Source organism: Homo sapiens, chromosome 10 (assembly GCF_000001405.40).
Source record: "Homo sapiens chromosome 10, GRCh38.p14 Primary Assembly".
Lineage (NCBI taxonomy): Eukaryota > Metazoa > Chordata > Mammalia > Primates > Hominidae > Homo > Homo sapiens.
This window is the reverse complement of record NC_000010.11, coordinates 9,192,933-9,218,292: the sequence shown is the minus strand read 5'-3', so window position 1 is coordinate 9,218,292 and position 25,360 is coordinate 9,192,933. Positions and strand designations below refer to the sequence as shown.

General features: G+C 35.6%; 1 long non-coding RNA gene across 1 annotated transcript in view; it reads left to right on the top strand.

Annotated features, from left to right (window-relative positions):
- Positions 1-20,927, top strand: part of LOC101928272 (uncharacterized) — a 98,228-nt gene extending 77,301 nt beyond the window's left edge. The window contains exon 5 of the long non-coding RNA NR_120635.1: positions 19,247-20,927. This is a non-coding gene — a long non-coding RNA (uncharacterized LOC101928272). The remainder of the gene's footprint in view (positions 1-19,246) is intronic.
- Positions 20,928-25,360: the final 4,433 nt, after the last annotated feature.

The window sequence follows — 25,360 nt, the reverse complement described above, 5'->3', positions numbered from 1 at the left end:
GGCGGAAGTCATATTATCTGAGTTTTTCTGATGATGAAAGGACGGCTAAAGAGCTTAGGAGACTATGCCATGATCACACAGTTACAAGTATCAATTAATCAAAACCCAAATCTGACCAGAAATTTTGTGCTTTTAATTAGAAACAATTTTACTATTTTCTCAATTTCTTTTCTAACAACTAAGTCCTCTACGGAAAAGGACTTAGCGTCTGTAGCATTTTATTAATTGATGTAGATCAATCTTGAATTATCATTTTCCTTTACTGAAATTTGCATTTGTATATCTTGGTTGGCCATATAAAGTGACTCAAAAGTAATACAGTTGAAAAATGTGTAATTGTTCTAATCTTTACTTTTCTCTCTGTGTTTAATTAGTAAGTTCTTACTATATTGAAAGTGTACCCCTGAAAATAAGTTAAGAAGCAGAATGCCATTACATAATTTTCACAGTTCATCACCTTGAAAAAATCCTGCACCAGTTACCTAACATTAGGTAATTCTGCATCGAATTAGAGAAAATAAACAAAAAAAGAGAATTTTATCTGAGCACATGTAACTATTACTTTCCTATCTCTAAGGCTTAGAGACCAATTTATACTTTAATAATAAAATAAATATCTTTTAATTTGAATAGATCATTATGCAATAGAATGCATTATACAAAAACCTTAGGAATGATTGTTTTTTAATTACTTCTTTGTTTAAAAAAGTAAAGTTTTTAAAACTTCATCCCTTCCTGTATACCTTTTATTGATTAAGATATTGAAGTTTGGACAGGATCATTCCATCAATAAGAAAACCATGATTTTCCAATTCATGTCATTCTTCTTTAATACAAGTAAGGCCTTTTATAAATTGAGCAATTGTCACTTGTGGTATCTAATGATTCTGTTTCAAAAATATCAGTATTAAATTGTGTCCAGGTACCTGTGGAGACACTTGTTTAAATAATGGTGCCCTTGCCTATGTTTTTAAATAATAAGTGGATTTGTTACATTTTCTTTCTTTTCTTTTTTTTTTTTTTTTTTTTTTTTGAGACGGAGTCTCGCTCTGTCGCCCAGGCTGGAGTGCAGTGGCGGGATCTCGGCTCACTGCAAGCTCCGCCTCCCGGGTTCACGCCATTCTCCTGCCTCAGCCTCCCAAGTAGCTGGGACTACAGGCGCCCGCCACTACGCCCGGCTAATTTTTTTGTATTTTTAGTAGAGACGGGGTTTCACCGTTTTAGCCGGGATGGTCTCGATCTCCTGACCTCGTGATCCGCCCGCCTCGGCCTCCCAAAGTGCTGGGATTACAGGCGTGAGCCACCGCGCCCGGCCCATTTTCTATATGTATAATTTGTTATTGGGTTTAATCTTGAAATACAAATATTCAACTGAAATTTCTCTCACCTTTAAAAAAATCTGTTCATCAGGTTGAGGAAGAAATGTATACCCCTTAATTGGATTCTACTTTAATTGTCTTCTTGTTGAGGCTGGTTGTTCTTGGGATTTCTGACTTGGTTCAATTATTAAATACCACACACTACTAGAGAATTGCCTTCAGGAGAGAAACATCTGCTCTATCATGGGTCTGTATTTCAGTATGCTTCTAGATCAACTTATTAACTTGCTTATAATCCAGTCTCTCAATCTGTAAATGATAGGTGTGTAATTCAACCTAATTCACAAGGCAAAGTGGAAATCTACAAGTTACCTTAAAAAAAAAAAAAAAAAAAAGCTCTGGTTAAATGAATGGTGCTAGCACTTGGGGGAGGACTGAAATTTGGCCAGAGGAATAGCTTGCGTCTGCTCTATCATCTGATTAGCCCAGTATGCAGGCCAGGATCTCAGCGAGGTAAGCATGAGATGAAAATGAGCAAGTGGGAGTTTATTAGGAAGTGCTCTTGGGACTCACATCTGTAGGAGAAGGGAAGGAAGCAAAACTGTTCAGGGAATGAGGCTGGATGTGATACAGTCACAAGGAAGACCTCATACCCCAGATAGCTCCAGAGCTGGGTGGCCCTTCAAAGTGGTCACACGTTGAATCCAGGGACTTGCGTCTTTATACCCTCATCAATCTGTCATTGAATACGAAGGCAGGATGCATCCTTGAGCAAAGCAGCTCTCTTTAGCTGAGTGCAATTACTAGACAGAGGATTGTCAGCCAATGGCAAGCCCAGCACTTGGGACACTTGGTTATTTATTCTTGACCGGGCAACTGGGCAGAAACACTCAGTATCAGTGACATCTAGGTTTGTCTGGATGAATGAGGAAAACCAACGCTGGAGCACACACTGGTGCCCGTGTGGCCTTAACCTAATCAACATATGATTTAGAACCCTATCTCTTCTAAAGCATATATTCTAATAAGGCATTAGAATCAGAGAAGCGGCCTTCAAAAATGACAACATAATGAAATACTTTGCTGAGACATAAGACTGATTATTGTTATTACATTTCAAGCATTGAGAAAATATTTTTCTGAAAATAAACGTATAATTATGAATATAACAAGTTCTAAACTTTCAAGGGAATTGTTGTTTTCCACTTTTGTGTAAAATCTTTGTGTTTTTTTCATGTCTAAGGAAGTTTCCAGATGAAAATTTTTCACTGTGGCTGGGCATGGTGGCTCACATCTGTAACCCCAGCACTTTGAGAGGCTGAGGCGGGTGAATCATCTGAGGTCATGAGTTCAAGACCAGCCTGGCCAACATGGTGAAACCCCGTCTCTACTGAAAACACACAAAAAAATTAGCTGGTCATGGTGGCAGGAGCCTGTACTCCCAGCTACTTGGGAGACTGAGGCAGGAGAATTGCTTGAACTCGGGAGGCAAAAGTTGCAGTGAGTCAAGATCATCCCATTGTATTCCAGCCTGGGTAACAAGAGTGAAACTCCATCAAAAAAGAAAGGAAGGAAGGAAGGGAGAAAGAGAGATAGAGAAAGAGAGAGGGAAAGAGAGAGAGAGAAAGAGAGAGAAAGAGAGGGAAAGAGAGAGAGAAAGAGAGAGGGAAAGAGAGAGAGAAAGAAAGAAAGAAGAAGGCAGGCAGGAAGGAAGAAAGGAAAGAAGAGAAAGAAAGAAAGAAAGTTTTTCACTAATAGGTCTGTGCTTCTTTCTATTTAACACATTTGCTAACTTTCTAGTCAACAACAGTATGGTACCGAGATATGAGAAGCAAAATAATATGATTGCAAAGCCCCCAAATAATAGCAGCTTAAATAAAATAGAAGTTTCTTTCCCTCTCTCTCTCACACACAGATGTGAGCTGATGTGGGAGCTCTGCCCTGCTGAAGTTCTTAAGGGCCGGGCTTCTTCTGTCTTACTCTACCTCTCTAGAATATCACTTTCTTTGCATGGTCCACACAGTTTATTACAAGGTGCACTTTGCAGCCAGCAAGATAAGGAAAAAAATAAGTATTAACAAAAGCCACGTTACTTCCTTAAAGGACAAGACTTGGGAGTTCCACATCCTGCCTGCTCGCGCATCCTCTTGGCCAGCACTGAGTCACTTGGCCTCACCTGCCTGCCAGCGAGTCTGGGAAACGTGGTCTATAACTGGGTTGCCTTATGCCCTGAAAGTAGTAATATCTACTGTTACAGCCTATAGGAAAGGGTGAGTGTATAATTTAGCTCTCTCTTCCATGTGCTGTACCGACTGGGTTTCCAAAATCTGAAAATCTGAAATGCTCCAAAATCCAAAACCTCTTGAGCATGGACATGATACTCCAGAGAAATGCTCACACTGGAGCATTTTGGATTTCGGATTTTCAGATCTGAGAGCTCAACTGGTAAATATATTGCAGATATTCCAAAATCCAAACATTTCAAAATCTGAAACTCTTCTGGTCCCAAGCATTTTGAATAAGGGGAACTGAACCTGTATTCATAATGAATACAACAAACAACCACAAATAATCCTGGCATTTAGAATGAATGCACAGTGCAATTTGCTTTTGTAATGTGGTGGTACCACCTCAGAGATTCAGAACAAAATTAACTGATGGCATTTTTAAAACATTAGGTGAGGGGAGTATGGCAGTTACCAATCTATTGCCTCTTGGCTCCAAGGAAACCTGTATTGTCCTGCTTGTGGCTTCTCATCCTTTCTCCTTGGACAGTTGGCATGCCATTAAGCTTCGTTGGCAGAAGGCACTCGTGGGAACCTAGGAGAGGAATGGGTTCTTCCTCTTGGGTCCAGCCTGTGCTCACTCTCAGTAGGCTCCTGCAGTGTGTGGCAGCTGGTGGTGTGGCGGGAACCTAGCAGAGGAATGGGTTCATCATCCTGGGCCAGCCTGTGCTCGCTCTCAGTAGGCTCCTGCAGTGTGTGGCAGCTGGTGGTGCAGGACATTCCCTGACACCAAGAGGGAGGTTTCCCAATGTGCCATTTCCGGTAACAAATTCCAAGTGGGACTTGTGTGGGCATCTCTCCATTAGTGACGTCCCTCTGACACTCAAGAGGGCAGTTTCTCAGTGACTACTGCTGGCATGGCACCTCAGCAACTCCGCATCCCCAGGGCCACTGCCATGCCCTCTCCAGTGAGGTCTGGATCTCAGCCCTGGAGGGGCAGGGTCCTTTTCCAGATTTTTTCTTACCTTGGGTGTGTTCTCTCAGCGTTTGGAATAGAATCTGCTATTCTATATTCTTTAGAATTACCTATACTTCTTGGTATCCCAAGCTATGATTCCAATCCTCTGTTACAGTTAAAAAAATTGTATTTTACACATTCTCTATTGAATTTACTGGATAGAATCTGTTTCCTGATTGAAGCCTGTCTGATACCATTAGGGAAGTCGGTCATATTAAGATAGCCATAAGGGTGCCACCATTTCCTATGTAAGATACAGGCACTTATGGCATCTTCCTGTGTCATTTTTGAGGTCTATTGCTCATGTTAAAGCTCAGGTATCCTGAGGATTTTGCTCTAGTAAATGTCATACAAATCGAGGAATACAGAAATTAATTGCTTCTGTATTAAAACGTTGCTTGTTTGAAAGTACTGAGAATTCATGGGAAGAGAATTAGTGTGGGTGTTTTAAAAAATTAAATCACTGTTATGCTTTGATATTTTCCATTCTTTATCAACATCAGATAAAAAGCAAGCCTTTGGAGTTCCTCCAAAAATTAAGTTTCTTCTCCTACACTACACACTCTATGCTTTTAGGGAAGAATATTCACATTACATATAAGGAAAATGCCTCGTTTTGATAGGAAATTACAGTTTCTGGATTAGTGACATATTGTTTGAGATAGTCTTATTAGCTGCCCTGCATCCCTAGCCCAGATGATGTTTTCAAACACTGTAGCTCTAGAAATCAAGTTATATATGCAACAAAATTTTGCCAACTGCCCTTTTAATTAGGGTGTAATGCCAAAAAATATTATGATATTATTTTCCTTTTTCCAAACTAGCATCTGGCCTAAGAGAATGACAGCAGAGAGATAAATTTCTTGAAGTCAGGTATATACAGTAGGGAAAGTATTTTCTTCTATTCATAGTTACCATTATTCTTATTTATTACCTGTTCACATTCAGTAAATTTAGCAGAATTATTATTTATAGATTGTAAAAGATTTTTTTAAAACATAATTTTGTCAAAAATATATATATTTAAAACTAGAAGTAATCTATTTTGGTTTTAGCAGCAACTTTTGCTTTGTATATTTTTGTCACTGTGAAACATTTTTTACTTTGATTCAGTTTCATACATTTTTAAAACTACCATCTAAATGCGATTTTGGAAATCTTGTAAGTGTGTTGTAAAGGAGGAGGACAGAATGTTTCGCTTTTAATGAGGCCTGTTTTCATACTGGATTGCATCCATTGATATTCTTATTTTTCCATATTTTGCATCAACTGTCCATTGAGGTTTTTAATGGTTTACTTTACTTTTTCTATTTAGATCAAATTTACAAGCATAAAACATTACATAAATTTAGGTAAATCTCCTAACTTCATCAAAACTATATATAGATATTTGATGGCCAAATTCTGTGGACTTTGGCATTGGAGGGTAGCGGTATGTGGAGTCAATGGATGGGAATGGTGGCATCTTTATGACTTAATTTCCCAGTATAAAGTCTTTCTTTTTAAATAGTTAAACATCATAACACATTGCCCAGGTATTAGGTTCTTATAAATGCACCATTGTATTCTGGCTTTTTCTCCTACAGCCAATCTTAAACTATCTCTTCAAGCTCAGTGTAAAATATAGACAGGTAAAGGGGAAGATCTTGGTATGGAATCCTAGGAAGCTGCTTCAAGTTGAAATACAAAGTGAGACTTATACAACAGCTTTTCTACCAGTAATTAAAAAGCCTAATGTCTTTGGAGTATTATTAAGTTGACTGATTTTTGTACAGGACTCCACATTATCTTCATTTAATAACTTTCCAAGAAGTATTTGCAGAGGGAATAACAGTAGTCCATATTTAAGTGTGCAGTAGCCCCCCCTTTATCCACGGGGGCTACGTTTCATGGACCCCAGTGGATGCCCAAAACAACGTTGAACCCTATATATACCACGTTTTTTCTATACATACATACTTACGATAAAGTTTAATTTATTAATTAGGCACAGCAAGAGATTAACAACAATATCTAATAATAAAATAGAACAAATATAACAATATACTTTAATAAAAATTAGGTGAATAAAAGTTCTCTCTCTCAAAATACCTTGTTATACTATATTCACCCTTCTTTCTGTGATCTGTCAATCTGATAACCTAGAGGACTACCAAGTGACCAGGAGCGTACTAGACTATCTCCTAGATGCAGATTTTCAGGATACCAAGCCTTACAACAGTTTTCAATGGGAAGGGTATGAAAATGGCTTATTTCCACGGTTAAAATTTAAGGCAACTGCACTGCAAAATTCCAACCTATAGTTGTCAGCACTGAGTATATGACAATAATTCCTAGCAAGGGACAACTGAGATCCAGTGCCATGCTCTCTCTTAACAAGTCTTCCCATTCTTTCTTACTTTGTATTGTCACTTTGGGTCTTTTGCATGTCCAATGACAAAGCCATCACAAAACTCTCAAAAACTGATCCTATAATGACAGCAGTGTTTCACTTTATAAACTCAAGTACTCCAAACAGTAATTGAGATCAGAACAGAAATATGAACGGTACGTGTGCATTTTAAAATAATATTAGTAACAAAATGATTAATTTATTAAATGAACTAACCATATTGCCACACAAAGACAGCCCAGTATGCAGGCTCAAGGCCTGAAGAGTGGAATATAAACACATGTACTCCAAACAAGAAGAAAGTGGGCACTGGATAGCACTTCTAAGAATACTTAATTGTGTGCATATTTTTTTGTTGTTGTAATTTGGATGAATTCCAACTTTTCTGAAAGAAAACATTTGCTTACATATTAAGAAAATATATAGCAGAAAAACAGAAAGGTAACAAATACCAATTTTTTTCTTTTTAAAGAAAATATTTAAATTATTTTAATGGGTGAATATACATGAAAATGATCCATTCAGTTCACTCTGCTTAATAAAAGTTATTTCAAATAAAAAAGTCATTGTAAGTCAGGGTGTTACTATTTACATATCTTATCCATATTGTCTTTATATGTTTCTTCTTTATGTTGAAGCTTGTTAGCAGTTTATGGTTTGTTAAAAATGGCTGATGCCACTAAGCTCAAAGTAAATGAACATTTATGTGCCAAAGGCCCCCTATAGACTGGTTAGTACGTATGCCAAGGAAACAAATCTCAGATAACTGGATTTTCATTTTAGCTTTGTGGATTACCTTGAATGCGTTATATATTTGTATTAACATAAGAAAATATAAATAATGTCTTTCACGTAACAAAATAATTCTATGTCTTAGGTGAAATAACTCCACTCATATTTTCCCCTGCCAAATAAAAAGTGCTGAGCACAATCTTTCATGTAAGATCTCATTTCTCCTTTTAAACTTCTCCTATGAATGAAAACCAAATGGCAACGCAGCATTGAAAACCAATGCCTACAAAAAGTACACAGAGTTTGTAACATTAAAAAAAAGCAGGAGCTAATGACACATAACAGGTAAATAAAGGGGGAGGGGACCCCTGAACTTATACCAGGCGTCCAGGATAACCCTCTTGAAGTCTATTAGAAACATGCATTCATCAGTACAGCTCTTTGAAGGGCTTGGAAGATGTGAGGTTTGAAGGAAAAACAAAATGCTATTTTTTTTAAAAAATAAAAAGTGCTGAAAAGGTAGGGCTGCTTGAATTGTTAACCAATTCAAACCTAAATGTTCTGGGTGAGACCTCCATTGCAATTTACCCAGAAGGTGGGAGAAATGTTTCTGATATATGTGGAATAAATACAGAAATCAGCAACATAATAGAAAAACAATGTGCCCTTCAACATCAAACTGACAACAGGAAAAATCTCTCCATGTTCTTCTTTCTTAGTTCATGCGTTTATTAAACACACACATGTGAACTGCACCAGGTACTCTAAGTTGGAGAGCTTAGGTTGGTATAATCACAACCTTGGTGTGAGTCCATATCAATACATCTTTGAGTTAATAGTAATGCTATTAAAATAAATGGGCCGAACCATTGCGATTTTTAATCACTAGAAATTCCCTGATCTTATAAAGAGTTGCTCATTTGGAGTCCATTTTAAGTACTTTAAATCTTCGTTCAAAAATATTAGTAAATTTTTATTTTGCCTACACATTTGTTCATTCTACACACGCTACATCCAAACCTAGAGGGGAAATAGTAAAACTAACTTAAAATGAAAGATACTTTAACAACTACTTCTGCTTGCTTATTACATACATTGAATTGTTAAGATAGAAGAGAAAATAAACAAAGTCATTGTATTTTATTTTCTATGTAGGACACGGTGTCCAAGCAAAACAAACGGGGTTTGGTTGAACATGCAATACCGGATGTCGCCACTGGATGGCAATGCCAGCTTTTGTCTCTAAAATGTGCATGGTACCTTTGATGAGATTTAGCGCCACAACCCTTGGGTCCTAAGTTTCTCAGGACCATCAAAGTGTAAATACGCTGGGGTGAGTCTCCAGCACACATCTCGCATTCCTTTGGGATCTGTCGTCTTCTGGTGCACCCGATGCTAAGGCAGCCCATAAAGCTTCCTTATTTGCTATTACTCTTTGGGAACCTGATGTTCAATAGAATGCCAAGTTCATAAGAAGAAAAAAGGTTACAAAGAAAGTGAATAGGAGGTGAGATGGAAGTACAAATAGGGCACCAGATTCCTTTCCGCTGCTGAATGATGTTAAGCTTGCACAGGACCAACATCTCAAAAATATACTTGTTATGAATTCACTTTCTACCATATAGCAAGAATAGCCTTCACTCTTTTCAGCATTTTATAGTCTAAATCACTTGTTCTCACAAGCTATACACACACACATTCTGACATGTATACACACTTCAAATAAATGTTTGTAGTTGAGACAATTAGCTGATGACAGTTTAGTTTTCCACAGTGAATTGGTTTTAAACTTACAGTAAGGAAAAAACCTTTGAAAACATTATTTTAGGTATACTAAAGAAGCTAAAGGTTTTTACAACGAATTTTGTGTGGTGTTAAAATATATAAATATCTAAATTTGTATTAATTCAAAGATTAATGATAATTATGAAGGTGTTAGATATTATCTGGAACAATGAATCACTTCTGTTCAGAGAAGGAAGGATTTAATGCCAAATAACTTTGCTTAGTTATATGGATGGGAAACATGAGTGGGGTAAAATGATCACATTTTTAAGGTAAAATAAAGAGGGAGAAAATTTGTGTAAATATATGAAATAAAAAAAATTGATAAATTTAATTATCCTTAGTTCAGGAAACACATTTATCTATAACTCCTTATTACTATTTTAACATATAAAAACTTTGGCAAGCAGCATGTCATGCTTTTCTAGTAAACAAAACTTAATAATTAACTTTTACAATTAGCTGACATCTATGGAAGTTACAGTTTGCACTAGGCCTCTTATATATCTTTCATTTGCTTGTGAAAATGATGTTCACACCCCTCTGATGGAAGATGAAATGGTTAAGAATACCACAGAATAGCAAAACAAAACTTGAAACAACAACAAAACTAGAATGAAAATTTGAAGCATATTATAGTATGTTTAAGTTTAGCTAGCACGGGAAAAAATGTTTTTAAATACCAAATTTCAAATTAAGTTTTCTTATTCTTCACAACACAAAACACTAGCTGAATAAACATATATTATTCAATGAGTAGTAGGCATATAAAAGGAAAATTTTCTCTCTGTTAATATAAGCCACTTTTAATTTTGCATGCACAGATTTTGTCACTAGATCAAGAGATATTTTTGCATATACCTTACATGGATATATTTGGATTTGTAAAAACAAACTAGGCAAGATAAAGCCAGGTTTTGAATATTTATTTTTTGTTTACTTCCCACAAGAAGTCCATACCTTATGGGACAACAAACCAGTCAAGTATATTTGGGGTTTCCTGATTAAGAACCAGAAGGAGGCTGGACAACTGTAGCTCACGCCTGTAATCCTAGCATTTTGGGAGGCCGAGGCAGGTGGGTTGCCTGAGGTCAGGAGTTCAAGACCAGCCTGGCCAACATGGCAAAACCCCGTCTCAGTTACTCGGGAGGCTGAGGCAGGAGAATCACTTGAACCCGGGGGCAGAGGTTGCAGTCAGCTGAGATCGCACCACTTCACTCCAGCCTGGGCGAAAGAGCAAAACTCCGTTTCAAGAAACAACAACAACAATAATAAGAACCTGAAGGGACTGCTTCTGTCTTTCCATCACACTGGCAGATTCTTGCATAGAAGTGTGGCCTTATTCAGGAGCACTTGGAAACAACCAAGGCAGATCTACTTTGTGCTCTTAGATAATTGACTGAGTAAAAATACTAATTTTCAAAACTTGCTTCACTTTCATCACAAAGCCAGATATAAATGGAGACAAAGTATTTGGTGCATATTTTAATTTTCTATTTATTTGAAAACTAAAGTTGTATGGACTAAACTTTGTTTACATAAAGTAAGGTGAATTTGTAATACTGTCATATACACATGAAATACTATCATATGACATTTCATATATATGACATATATATGAAAGTCTGTCTAATATATGAAATCAAACAGATAATTCAAGCTAAAATCACTCCCCTTGGGGATCAGCAATCTCCCTTTTAATGTATATATTGATGTATGATTTAAAAACTTTTCATTTTTTAGAGTCCTAAGTTTCAGCTTCAATTTTTCTAGGGAAAATTTAGTCAAAGGTTTATGACTTCAAAGGATTGAAGAAATACCCTAATCTGAAATCTTGGAAAATGGAAAATGAGATCCTAAATATTTTTTCTCGTTATCTGTTGACCTTATACCTGAGAAGTAACTTTTAATTTTAAATTTCTTAGATCACAAAAGGATATTTCAGATTTCAAGAAATCATTGCTTCTAATGCTTCTAAAACATTGATTGCTTCTAATGCTTCTAAAACATTGATATTTGATCTTGATATTGAAAACAAATATCAATGTTTTAGAAGCACTATAAGCAATAATTTCTTTCTAAATCTTGACACTCGCTAAGAATGTAATGATGAGAGTGAACAGTACTTTGAATTTGTGTGTTTAGGCAAGCACACATACACACATATATGAGAAGACACATGACTTCTAGGACCACATAACTCAGAGTAGGGCTATATGTTGATGTTGCAATTTGGGAAATGATGCTTTATATATATACATATGTGTGTGTGTGTGTGTGTGTGTGTGTGTGTGTGTGTGTGTGTGTGTATATATATATAAATTTTGCATGGGATGGCGTTTTCCCGCGACTTATATGTTTGCCTGTTAATGCATGACAATAAATGCCAGTTGCATTAAATATGTCATTTAAGGAATAGAATATTAAAAGTGTATCACTGGATATGGACTTTGCGCTTGTTCACACACACCACCACCATCCCACAGAAGAAGACAGTGCAGACAGAACCCCGTCCTCAAAGGTCTTCAAGTTGAATGCAGATTGTAGGTTGCCCAATCTCTGTTGTTCTGTGCTTGGTTTGTATTGCAATGGCACTGGTTATCAGTAAGGCAAAGTATTCACTTTAGAGAATGTTTGAGAAAAGTTCTTTTAGAACAGCAGTGAAAGTAGCTCCACATTCCAGGAGGTTGCAGTTTTTATTTGCAGGATGTTTATGTATTTAGGCATTACATACATAAAAGTAAGAGTTCAAATTCTGACACAAGTAAATGATAAAAGTCAGGCAAATTCTTAAAGTCTTTCATAGTTGGAAAGTTCTTGGACAAATGGCTATCCATGTAGTGATTATACATTTTTAAGGCTATATTCTCCTTCCCCAGCCTTCCTGGTTCCCTAGGTACTGCCAAAGGATATTTTCAGTCCAATAAAATATACAGATTCCATAATTTGCCTCTATTCCTACTTGGCCTTCTTCATACTCATTTCACTGGGTTAATATTTGTTCTTAGCCATTTCCTCATTCTCTGGGTTGAACCCATCTTCTTGAAAGGTCACTTTCTCTGTGGGTCTCTAAACTACAAATAAAAATGTTTTTGAACTAAGGTCTTTACAAGGTTTGCAGAAGTCCTTTCATGATTTAAGAATAGTCAACAATTCAGACGTGAGCACTGATGGTGAAGAGCTGCCAAATGGGAAAGTTCAGGTCTTCAGCTCTATTTTCTCCTAAAACTTGTAAGCCAATACTCAGTGATATATTATAAAAGTGCCAGGAAGCCCATCAGGCATCTGAGGCAGTGGCATCAACTGCCAGAAGACTGGAGACAGAAGAGTTGCAAAGAAGAATGTTGTACTATTCAAAGAAATTATGACATAAGACTATTTTTTTCAATCTGAGTTCTTATGCATAAACCAAATAGAATGAGACTAAAATCCTAGCAACATGAAAGCAAAAACAGGAATTCCACGAGATCGTGCCACTACACTCCAGCCTGGGTGACAGAGCGAAACTCCGTCTCAAAAAACAAACAAACAAACAAAAAACCCCAAAACAGGAATTCCAGATACCTAATAACTTGCAGACAAATGTATAGACTCTTTCTAAATAGAAATCACCCAATTTAATAACTTTAGATGAAGAATTTTATTTATTTATTTATTTGTTTGTTTGTTTGTTTATTTATTTATTTATTTATTTTAAGATGGAGTCTTGCTCTGTTGCCCAGGCTGGAGTGCAGTGGTGTGATCTCGGCTCACTGCAACCTCCACCTCTGGGGTTCAAGTGATTCTCCTGCCTCAGCCTCCCTATAGCTGGGATTACAGTCACCCGCCACCACACCCGGTAATTTTTATATTTTTAGTAGAGATGGAGTTTCTCCATGTTAGTCAGGCTGGTCTTGAACTCTACCTCACGTGATCCACCCGTCTCAGCCTCTCAAAGTGCTGGGATTACAGGCGTGAGTCACTGCGCCTTGCTAGATGAACAAATTTTAGATTCTATATTTTAAACATATAAGCAATATTTTTGTTTTCAGTGTAACGGGGATATTACCTAATATGGAAGAGGAGCAAAGAAACACAGTAAGCCTCATGGAGCGGCAAAGAAATCTAGTTTAATAAAAAGTTCAATGTAAGAAAAGCACGGAGTAAGTTGCTTGTGCACTATTTGTGTGGTATTTTCCTCCAATCATTCTTTCTTATTATTTGCCTTAACACACACTATTAAAGCGTCCTGTATAACCACTTCCTAACTTTATATCTACAAGAATCTAATTTATTGTCATAGTTAAGTACTGCAGTATTAGAATTTATCTTACTGTACAGGATAACAAGCTTAAGATTATACCAATGTTTCTCCTGTATTGACATCATATAGGGCAGCCATCACATCTTCAAAACTACTTAATTTTTAGTGAATGTATCCCCACGCACATCTCTCCTAACACGTTGATTTTACTATTAAGATAGATTGTTCTAGATTAATTAATCTTTTCCATAAGTAGAAATTTTAATAATGCTATCATGTCCTAGGTGACTAAGAATACTTGATCTTGGGTGTATGAAAAAGCACCCAAGAACACCATATTGCCTATTTTCAAAGCTAAATCATGATAACAGAGTTAGTATGAGGAATCCTCTTACCTTGTTTTGGTAATGGACTCTCTTCCTTTGAAATGGTAACACTGCATTTGTGAATACTGTATTGCACTTGAAAAAAGCTGCTTTGTATTATAGTTATTTCTATTCCACATTTCCATATCTTACCAGAAACCCCCTACTGAAAACTTCCTTGAAGTAATAATTTTGATTTTAGCCTCCCATCTCTCAGTTTCTAGTATAATATCTTCTTTAAATATATTCATGCATTCAACAATTGTTCAGTGAGTGCTTACTGTAAGCTGTGCCTTCTGCTAAGCTAAGGGGATATAGCTAAGAACAAAACAGATGTAATCCTTTCCTTACATTACATATGATTAACACTGAGAAAGAAGCATGTAGTGACTTAAGCACTCAGAGTCTGTCCTCAGGCCTGAGTTCAATTCCTGCTTCAACTCCTACAAGTTAGTTTGTCATGCAACTTATTCCTCAGCTTTAGTTTATTCATCTGTAAAAAGATGGATAACTCTCACCCCAGAGATTTGTTGCAAATGCCAAACTGGATTACTTAAGTAAGATTTTAAATACAGTGCTGGGATATATGGAGTTTATAATAAGTGGAAGCTATATATTATTTAATATTTGTTAGCATCTTTTAAAAAATAATGCTATTGATAAACAGTTGTAACAACATGTTTAAGCAGAGATGATACATGGTCATTGGTTAAAATATTTATGGCTTATAATTTGTCTTATTAATGAAAACTCTTCTGCATATCTACTTATTGATTATGGTAAGAGAAAATTTCATAGGATTTTCCGAGAAACACTTCAAAATTTAATTTTGTACTTTGTGAATTTTGCTATGTTTATGCTTAAAAGTTCTCTTACTGCTCCAGGATTAGAAACATCACCACTTATTTTTTCATATTTTCTACAAAAATTTTTATTTGGTAAATTTTATTCCTTATGTTACCTTAAATTTACATTAAGTTAAAGTGTAAGATAAGGATCCAATTTAAGAATTATTTTCCAAAAGGCCAATTAATCCAAAATTATTTAGCAATATTACATCTGTTTATGTAATGTTTGTAAGATATTCATGATCATATAGCAAATTTTATATCTACTAGACATTAGAATTATATTGTTACTTATATTATGATATCCGTATGCTATTAGTATATAGACAAACAACTTATTTCTTTCATTGTGAACATCCCTGCTTTTTGGTCTTTTTTTATTTTTAATTTTTTTTTTTACTCTAAAAAGTCCCAATGACCTTTCAAGGTAGCTCTTAGCATGTTAAACAAATATATTTTAAAACTATAACAGGAAGTACCACAGTAATTTCAGATTCACATATCTCATTCATTAATTTTAAAATACTATCCATCTCTTAGCCTGCTGATGGACATCTTCTAAGTAAAAGTTTCAAAGCAAGTATCCATGGGCAGTTTATGTTCTAAATTCTGCATATCTGAGCAGGGAGGTCAGTGTTATACCAGCACATAAATTAGGTTGTACTCGGTTAAAATATCCTTAGATGACATATTTTTCTCTCAAAACTTTATCTCATTATGACATCATATTCTGGCACTCTGAGTTAAGTAGAATTGGAAACAGTGTAAATTTTTTACGTTTTGCCCATGTGGTTGTCAATTTTTTTCTTTAAAACTTGAAATTCAACAATTTTGCCAGTTTTATTCTAAGTTACTTTGTTTTTAATTTTGCGTGGCACTTAGTGAACACTTTTGACCCGTATATTCAAGTAATGTCTTTTGTTGCCGTTATGTTTTCTTGTTTGTTTTTAACTATGCAAAGTATTCTCCTCTAAATAATGATTAGCTTCAATTGCTTTGATTTATTCCCAGTGGAAGCTAATGATTTATATATTTTGACTTTTTGTTTTCTCTCCTCTATAGCATCTCTTATTATTGTTATTATATATTTTCTTGGTGTTTTTAGAGAACTGTCTACTTTATTAGTGATTTCATTTTCTACAATGTCAATTATGTTGCTCGCTACAGCCGAAGCCAATTTTAATTTTTCCACTGTGATATCTTCTGTCTCGCATTCTTTTATGTTTGTGCTGGCAGTGTTTATAGTTCAACACTCTTCTTTTTCTTTTATTTTCTCATTTATACTTATTTTACATATTTATGATAAATAGTTTTTTCTTACATGAAAAACTGCAGTCATTCGCTCAACTTTGATGTTTAAAAAATCATTGAAAAACGTAAAAATCTCACACTGTTAATGTTTGCAAAGGGCATTATTCCCTTGGACAGATATTACTGTCTGTCTTGGTGTTCTCAGAATCTCACAAACATTTGGGCTGCACCCCAGCCCCAACCCTGGCCCCGCTGCTGATATGTAGCTTTTTGAGACACATTCCATCATCAAGTAAACATTTAAACAGCTCAATTCCACAAAAATTAGGCAGAAATTACCCTGCTGCTGTTGTCCAGCATTTTTTTTTTTTTTTTTTTGAGACGGAGTCTTGCCCTGTTGCCCAGGCTGGAGTGCAATAGTGCGATCTCAGCTCACTGCAACATCTGCCTCCCAGGTTCAAACGATTCTCCTGCCTCAGCCTCCCGAGTAGTATTACAGGCACCTGCCACCACGCCCAGCTAATTTTTGTATTTTTAGTAGAGACGGGGGTTTCACCATGTTGCCAGGTTGGTCTCGAACTTCTGACCTCGTGATTGGTCTGCCTCACCCTCCCAAAGTGCTGGATTACAGGTGTGAGGCACCATGCCCAGCCATCCTGCATTTTTGATATTACCAGATGAATTATTTCCTAGATAATTTTAAGCATTCTGTAAATCCTCAGAATGGATCCTTTCAGGGTGTGCAGTTTACTAATACCTATTTCCTACTTTATGTCTAAGGCTGTAATCCTCCTTAAACCCAATCAACTTTCAGTCCTGTACGGAAAGAAGTTGTGGACTTCCATAGAGTAGAGATGGAGAGTCCAGAATGACAAGATGAGGAGAAGGCAGTTTTGGCCAGCTCTAAAATAATGACCAAGAATTAAGAGAGAACTCAAGCTTTCTCACTGGTGCCTTGGACAACAGTCTTTATTGGATACTGTTTTGAAGGATAAAATCTTTTTTGAAGCTTCCTCTCTATATTACAGCATTTCTATTTTAGATATTCAAACATGGATTAGCCTCCTGTCACTTATTAAACTGGCCTATGTAATCTTTCAGCCCTGAGATTTTAAAATATTTTATTAGTCTTCTTGGTTTCATTGGCTGTCATAACTTATTTTTCTGCATTATCATGGCTATTTTAAAGGTCTGGCACAGTTAAGTAGCTATCATCCCAACCGGAAAGTTACACCATTACTTCCTAACATGAATTTCAAAGTGTTTAATTATAGTTGGTAATGATCTCGACTGCCTGTTGATACATTCGCCTTAAAATGATTAAGATTTATCATGATATTAAAAACTTTCAAATAATGAAAAATGTAATGCAATCACCTTTCAGAAAATTTCACATGAATTGAATAGCTGATGACATGCCTTTAAAAAAAACTCTGAGAAATCATTTTTCTTGAACTTTGAAGAAGTGTAACTTGAAAGAAAAGTAGACTTTTGTTTTACAATTCATATTTTGATGATTATGGAACAAATTTTGTGCAACTATATAGAAAAATATGAAATTCCAATTTAGAATTCCATCATGAAACGACACCATTCTAATTTCCACAGGCCATGGTTTGTTAATATTCCACAAAGTCCCAGGATGCAACTATAAGGCTGCATTCAAATCTATGAACATGAGGCAATCGTGCTCAGCAGAGTATAACAATAATTATAATAGAGATTAAATAAAAATAATTAGAAAAAGTTCATCTAGTTTTGATGTATTAATTATTCTGACCCTGTTCTATTCAGAGTCTAATTATCTGGTTCAGTGAAAATGCCAAGATTTCTACGACTCATAAAAATTACATTCAAGTAATTATGTCAGCAAACTAAACAGTATTCATTTACCATGCCTCTTTATGCACACATTTGAATATGCTTTTTTAACTGTTTTTGCTCTTTGTTCCTATTCATGGGAAATAATACCTGTAGAGAAATTTGAAAGTCAGTTACACTCCGAGTGCAATGTGCAATTCTTGCTGATATTCTCCTTTTGTAAGACTGCTGTAAGTCTCATATAACCTTTGTTTAAAAAACATGAATTAAAGTTCACTCTTCAGTTGCTTCAAAGAAATCTTTAAAACCTGTAGCTGTAGTTTTGAAAAAAAAGTTTAAAGCAGTCATACAAAGCATCTCATAGAAAGTTTCTTACCTTGGGTAACTCAGAAGCTGACTAAATAGGTCTCTGCAGTTACTTCTGCTACCCATATTTCCCATAGGGACATAAGACATCCTATAAAAGAGCCTGGATTTAGAAATATATGTGTGTGTGTATGTATTTCTAAATCTATGTATATATGTATGTATTTCTAAATCTAATTAATAAATAATTTCTATGTTATTCAGATATATATTACATATATACTATACTATGTATTTATGTGTATAAATGTGTATAGTATATACACATATATGCATATATAAATACAAATACACATATGTGTATATGCAATGTAAATATATATATTTAGAAATACGTATATATATAAATGTATATACACATATGTATGTACATGATATTTTAAAACTCTCCAGCAAGGTAAGGACATATCTGAAGATTTCAAATCACTGAAAATTTCTAAGCAATGAGAATTTTTACATTCTTAAGGCCCATTTAGGACCTTCTTAATGCTAAAAAGTAAGTAACTTCATGTAACAAAGAGTTATACTGTTGAAGAATTCAGTATCTATTACACCGCTTATGATCTCTTTTATTATTTTTAGTAAGGAATTTTTCTGATGGGCATGTTAAGTAAAAGTATATTGCCTGAAGTATTAGCATTATTGCTTTGCGTCTGTTTTCTTCTCTGTGTGGATAGACAGACACAAACTTAGTTGAAATTACAACTTCTAATTATATTCACATTGAGAAGACTACATTAACAGTTAATTTTTAAACAACTTCCTTGGTGTGCTAGTAATAAGATATATTTACATGCACACACAAATATGTATATAGCCATAGCATATTCATTAACAGAGAAACTATTTTGTTCTTGATAAAACTGTATTTTATCTTTCAGGTGCTACAAACAAGTTCCAAACTTTATTGGACAGGGGAAGAAGTAGAAGAAACAAGAAGTATTATTAAAATGAATGGAGTTAAAATGGGACAGAGGTGAGAAGAAGGAGCTAGAAAACTTTAAATAAAATGCACCTACAGCTAAGGAAATAGACAAGCCTTTCTGATGGCTCTCATGGCTCTGCGTTTACATACTACAGATTCCTCCTGGATGAAACAGAAGCCGGGCTGCTGATGCAGCTGGAGGAGGAAGCGAGAGGTTCCAACGGCATGACTCCTTGGCATTTCACACATCCATAGAAATAACCCATCTATGATTTCCACAAGACAATTTTTTCTTAGTCCCCACTTTTCAGTGTATGCTCAAACACAATGCAGAATCCCAAGAAACTGTGAAACTTTTCTGAGAAAATGTTCTGATTTGAATTAGTTAGCTGTATTCTGCATTCAGCACATTTACAAGCTTTGAAATATCGGACATTGGCAAGCAAGCACTAACATTTTATAAGTAGCAGTTTGCATCCAGGTTTGAGGTAATGTAATCCAACATGCACGAGAACACAGTCTAGGTCCCCTTCTCCCTTCTAAGCATAGCAGAAGGATTAGGAATAATGAATGGTGTGAATTTTGCCACCTAGAGGGTTTCATTTTGATACCTGTTACACAGTCCTCTTGAGCACTGTGCTCATTTTTCCTATTGCTGAGATATGGAAAATAAAACAGTAATAGGAACGTGCACTGACAACACACCATGTCAATGCCCTAAAACGCAAAGTCTTGGAGAGGGTTCCATAATGGCTTCAGTAGAAGCATAGCTCATTCCCTGCTTTGCTAATCAATTTTCTGCATGCCATGTTCTCCCCGTTATACCTCATCCCTTAGGCTACTCTTGTAGCCCAAGTCAACCACACAGGTGATATACACCGGTGGAATAGGTCAGGGCAATTTCTTGAGGCACTGGAGGGGGAAAACCTGGGGTCTCTCCTCAGCCCTCCAATGTGTCCATAATGCTCCTCATGTGCCACAGGCTCCGTGCCACCATGGAATTTGATCTGGAAGTCTAGAGCCCTTTTCAGGGAGTTGTTTAAGCCTTTAGTCCTTGTTTCTTCACTCTTAGTGTAATTCTGTGTCATTTTAGAGCCAGAAACACTGTTGTAACAGTCAAATGTAGTAATTAAGACTGTAGTATCAGATCACTGGCTTTTCAATCTTTTTCTAAAAGGCTCTATGATCTCAGGCAAATTTACTGAACTCTTCTTGCTGTAATATGGGGAGACAGTGGCCCTCACTTCATAGATTGTAGTGAGATTAAATAAGTTAATATATGTAAAGCTTTAATAAAGTACTTAGCAAATAGTATATACAGTACTATGCAAGTTTTAGCTATAAAATGACAATAACATTTCACATAAAAAGGTTACTATTAATTGTTACTACCATTTCCTAATTATTGATTTATGTAATAAGCTATGCCCCAAACCTACCAGGTTTAACTCTTGGTATTCAGTGTGAACTGAATTATATTCCCCTCAAATTCATTTATTGAAACACTAATGTGCTGGCATTAGAAGGCAAGGCATTTGGGAGGTAATTAGGTCATGAAGGTAGAATCCTCATGATGGGATTAATGCCCTTATTAGAACAGACTGAAGAGAAATTTTACTCTGCCATGAGAGACACATAAAAAAAAAAAAAAAAGATGAAGTCTACAAGCCAGGAAGCAAGCTCCCACCAAGAACTGAATCAGCCAGCACCTTGTTCTTGAATTTCCCAGCCTCCAGAACTGTGAGAAATAAATATTAGTAGTTCAAGTCACCCAGACGGTGATATTTTTTGATATTTTGTGACAGCAGCCCATACAAACCAAGGCTATCTTCAAGCAAACAATTTAGAAGTTCACAATTTTTTTTCTGTCAAATATGTGGTGTTCGCAAATTGAAAGCATCTTGGATTTCAGGTTAGTATCCCTAGTACATATTTTAAAACTTATTTAGAGATTCAATTGACTTATTTTATTTGAGTCTATGTCCACCTTTCTCCTGAGGCAGAGAATGCCTCTGCCACAGGTCTCAAAATCCTCTGGTTAACACAAAAATTACAGAAAATGCAAAATTCCAGCCTAGGAATTAAACACTCTCATGTGTAAATTTGTGTAATGTAGAAGTTTAATAGCAAAGAAAGAGAAATTGTTATACCTATCAATCAAGCAGGAGCTTCTCCTTAAAATCTTTCAACATGAATCACATGGCTTAGCAGGGGTAAAATATTTTAGGAGCCTCCTCCTAGAGGATCTCACTCAATCTTACTCCCTTGTAGAACAGGCGATATCTTCACCATGCGCACAATGAAATCAATACTCAGAGAAGGCAGATAATTCTCCACGAAGCCAGAAAACTAATAAATGAACAGTAAGTAACAACACAATCAAATACCCTCTTCATATAGATCACTCATTTTAGAATTTTGAAATTGAATCATGCACTGTGTAACTGTGCAGTGGAATGCTTTCTTTTTGTTTTTTTTTCTTGATTCTCAATATAAGAAGCTTATAAATTTGTCTTTTTAATGGTTGGGATCATATCTAATAAATTTAATGGTTGGGATCATATCTAATGAATTGGCTGTACTAATGTGGAAGCTCTGTAGACTCAATAATGATTGATCTGTTTTCCTCCGCTCTATGAACTGCTGCCCAGAGGGTGCTCATGGCATTATCCACATGCATCCCTGTGCATCTAAATTCCTGAAGGAATGTGTATTCTAAGGCAAAATTCATAATGGTAATGTTGAAGAAATAAAAAGTAGCATATAAAAACTCTGAGTATAATTATTTAAAAAATTTTATTAGTTCAGGTCAAAAATTTCAGGAATAAGGTCATATTAAAACTTTGCATGGAAAAATTAACTTTAATTTGTACTAAGCCTTAGAGTTAAGTTTTAATAATTTCTATAAGGAAGAGCAGAACGAACCAAGATGAAAGTATCGTTTATGTGCTAGCACGTTTTTGTTATCCCAAAATAATTAGCAGAAGTAGATAAATTAGTTTAAGCTTTTACAGATCACTGTTCTAACATAAAGATGTACACCTGACTCATATAGAAATAAGGGATTCACTTTGTTCAGCTTTCTGGCAATGGGGGTTGGTGGGAGGCCCAATTTACATTGTGGAAGACGAGTAGCTTTAAAAAAGAAAAGTCAGGAAATGTCCAAACTTAATAGATACTATGGTAATGAGTATAAAGCACAGCAGAGGGAAGATAATAATAAACGTGTAATTGGCATCTGTGAAGAGAACATTATGACATTTTATTACTGGAAAATTGCATACCAAAATCTCTAGAAACATTGGCCATCACATCTTTGAAAACCACAAGCAAGTATATTTCATATGTGAATAAATCCATATACTCAGAACCACAGTTTTATGGTACTTAAGATGGATCTTTTGATATTGTAATGATGAAATAGGTCTCTCGAGGAAAGATGAAAAGGTAAAGCCAAGGCTTGTTTAAAAGATCAAAAAGAGAGATGCTGTGAATGCTCTCAGCAAATATGATGCTCTCTTTATCTGGATGCATTCCTGTTCTAAAGATAAATGGATATTTCTCAATAAAAATATAGAATCTTAACATTTTTGAAGTGTTGAGGAAAAACAAAGTGACAACAAAGTAAAGATATCTGAAGATAACAACAGTTCCTTGATTTCTTAAACAGTGCAAAGAAGTTAAAGTAGAAGGAAGTTAGGCCTTTGCACATTTAAATTTCATCAGGGCATCTTATAAAACTTTGGCAATTTTATTAGATCTTGGATTCCTCACCTAAAAATATTAATGTATGTACTAAACTAACTTTAAGTTCTCTTCATGCTCTTTATTATAAAAATATAGTACATTAACTTGGAGTACATCTTAGGGACATCTTGAAAACCATATTTTAAAAAATAATCTCTAATGGAGAAAGAAAGGTGTCTCTCTCTGACAATACAGGTGAAATTTGTAAGCTACTTTAGGCAAGTTCCTTCCTCACTTTTCCAAAGGAATGCATTTTGATTTTACAAAATGCTGTATAATCTTAAAATATTTTCATAGATATTTCCTATATGAATAGAATATTTTTTCCAATAAAAATGTGAAGGAAATGGTGAACCACAGCTATCAATTTCTCTCTGAATACTATCTTTTAATTATACCTTGCTTTCAGCTCCTCCTTAGTAAGACAGATGTGAACTTATTAAGCTGGAAACTGATCCCGAAGTATAAACTAATGTTTTGATGCAGTTAAAGGTTGTAGATAATTCTCAGCTGGGGGGAAATAAGACTGAACCTCCCCCAACCTCCCAGAAGTTACAGTATTTTACAACTCAACTAAGTCACCAATCATAGCAGGTGCCTTAAATGATTGAATAAATTAGCTCCGTTTACTTTCTCCTAGTAAATCAATTCAAAACAGCTTGATTTTGTACTGTTAGAAAAGTTGATGTGTCTGGGGCCGGGCGCGGTGGCTCACGCCTGTAATCCCAGCACTTCGGGAGGCCGAGGCGGGCGGATCACGAGGTCAGGAGATCGAGACCATCCTGGCTAACACGGTGAAACCCCATCTCTACTAAAAATACAAAAAATTAGCCGGGCGTGCTGGCGGGCGCCTGTAGTCCCAGCCACTCCAGAGGCTGAGGCAGGAGAATGGCGTGAACCCGTGAGGCGGAGCTTGCAGTGAGCCGAGATCGCGCCACTGCACTCCAGCCTGGGAGACAGAGCGAGACTCCGTCTCAAAAAAAAAAAAAAAGAAAAGAAAAGTTTATGTATCTGGAATACCAACAAACAACTAGCAAAAATATTACTTGAAATATTTAAAGTCAGACATCCTCAGCTTATTTTGTGTTCTAGATGAAATAATTTCATCTTGTACATAAATGAAAGCAAATGGAATATATATCTCCTTTGGTCTGATTTTTAAAAATACTAAATATGTAAATATAGAGGAAAGTGTTAAATACCAAGTACTAGCTCACACTTAAGCACACATGATCCAAATTTAACAAATGGAAGCACTTTATCCCATTTGTGAGTATTTTTTTTTAAGAAATCGAACAGCCAAAGACCCAAATTAAGGATCTCTGTCTATACTATTTCATACCTCCAAGATGTAACCATGACAATGCAGTTGATGTTTATCTTCAACAGTTTATACTTTTGTTTTATATGTGTAAATACATAATATACAGTATTTCAGTTTGTTTTAAAAATTAAAGTAAGCCATACGATGAATGTTTTTATAACTTGTTTTTTATTCAATATACCATTTTGAATATGTATACATGTTTGTTAATATATACAAGACTCATTAATTTTAACTGCTTTATTACAATATAGCCAGGCATGGTAGCTCATGCCTGTAATTCCAATGATTTAGGAGACCAAGTTGGGAGGATTGCTTGAGCCCAGGAGTTCAAGACCAGTCTGGGCCACATAGGGAGATCTTCGTCTTTACACATAATAATAATAAAACAAAATTAGCTGGGTGTGATGGCGAGCACCTGTAGTCCTAGCTAATTGGGAGGCTGAGGCAGGAGGATCACTTGAGCCCAGAAGTTTGAGGTCACAGTGACTCCGTCTTTACAAAAAATAATAATAAAAAAAATTAGCTGGGTTCGATGGCAAGCGCCTGTAGTCCTACCTAATTGGGAGGCTGAGGCGGTAGGATCACTTGAGCCCAGAAGTTTCAGGTTACATTGAACTATGATTGTGCCACAGCACTCCAGCCTGGGTGACGTAGCAAGATTGTGTCTCTAAAACAATTTCTTAAAGAACAAAGAATACACCCCAATTAATTTTTTTACTCCTTCTCTATTAATATAGTTTGATGTTTTCTGCAGTTTTTCTGGCTTACAAACAATAATGCTTCGAACATAATAGCACATTTATCATTATATGGATGTAAAAATTGTTCTTCAGGATATAGACCTGACATACTTATCATTTTTTTTGTTATGAGAATATTTAAAACCTATTCTCAGCAACTTTAGAGTATAAAGTAAATTAACATTAGCCATTGGCATCATGTACAATAAATGTCCAGGATGTATTCCTCCTATCTAATGAAACTTTGCATCTTTTG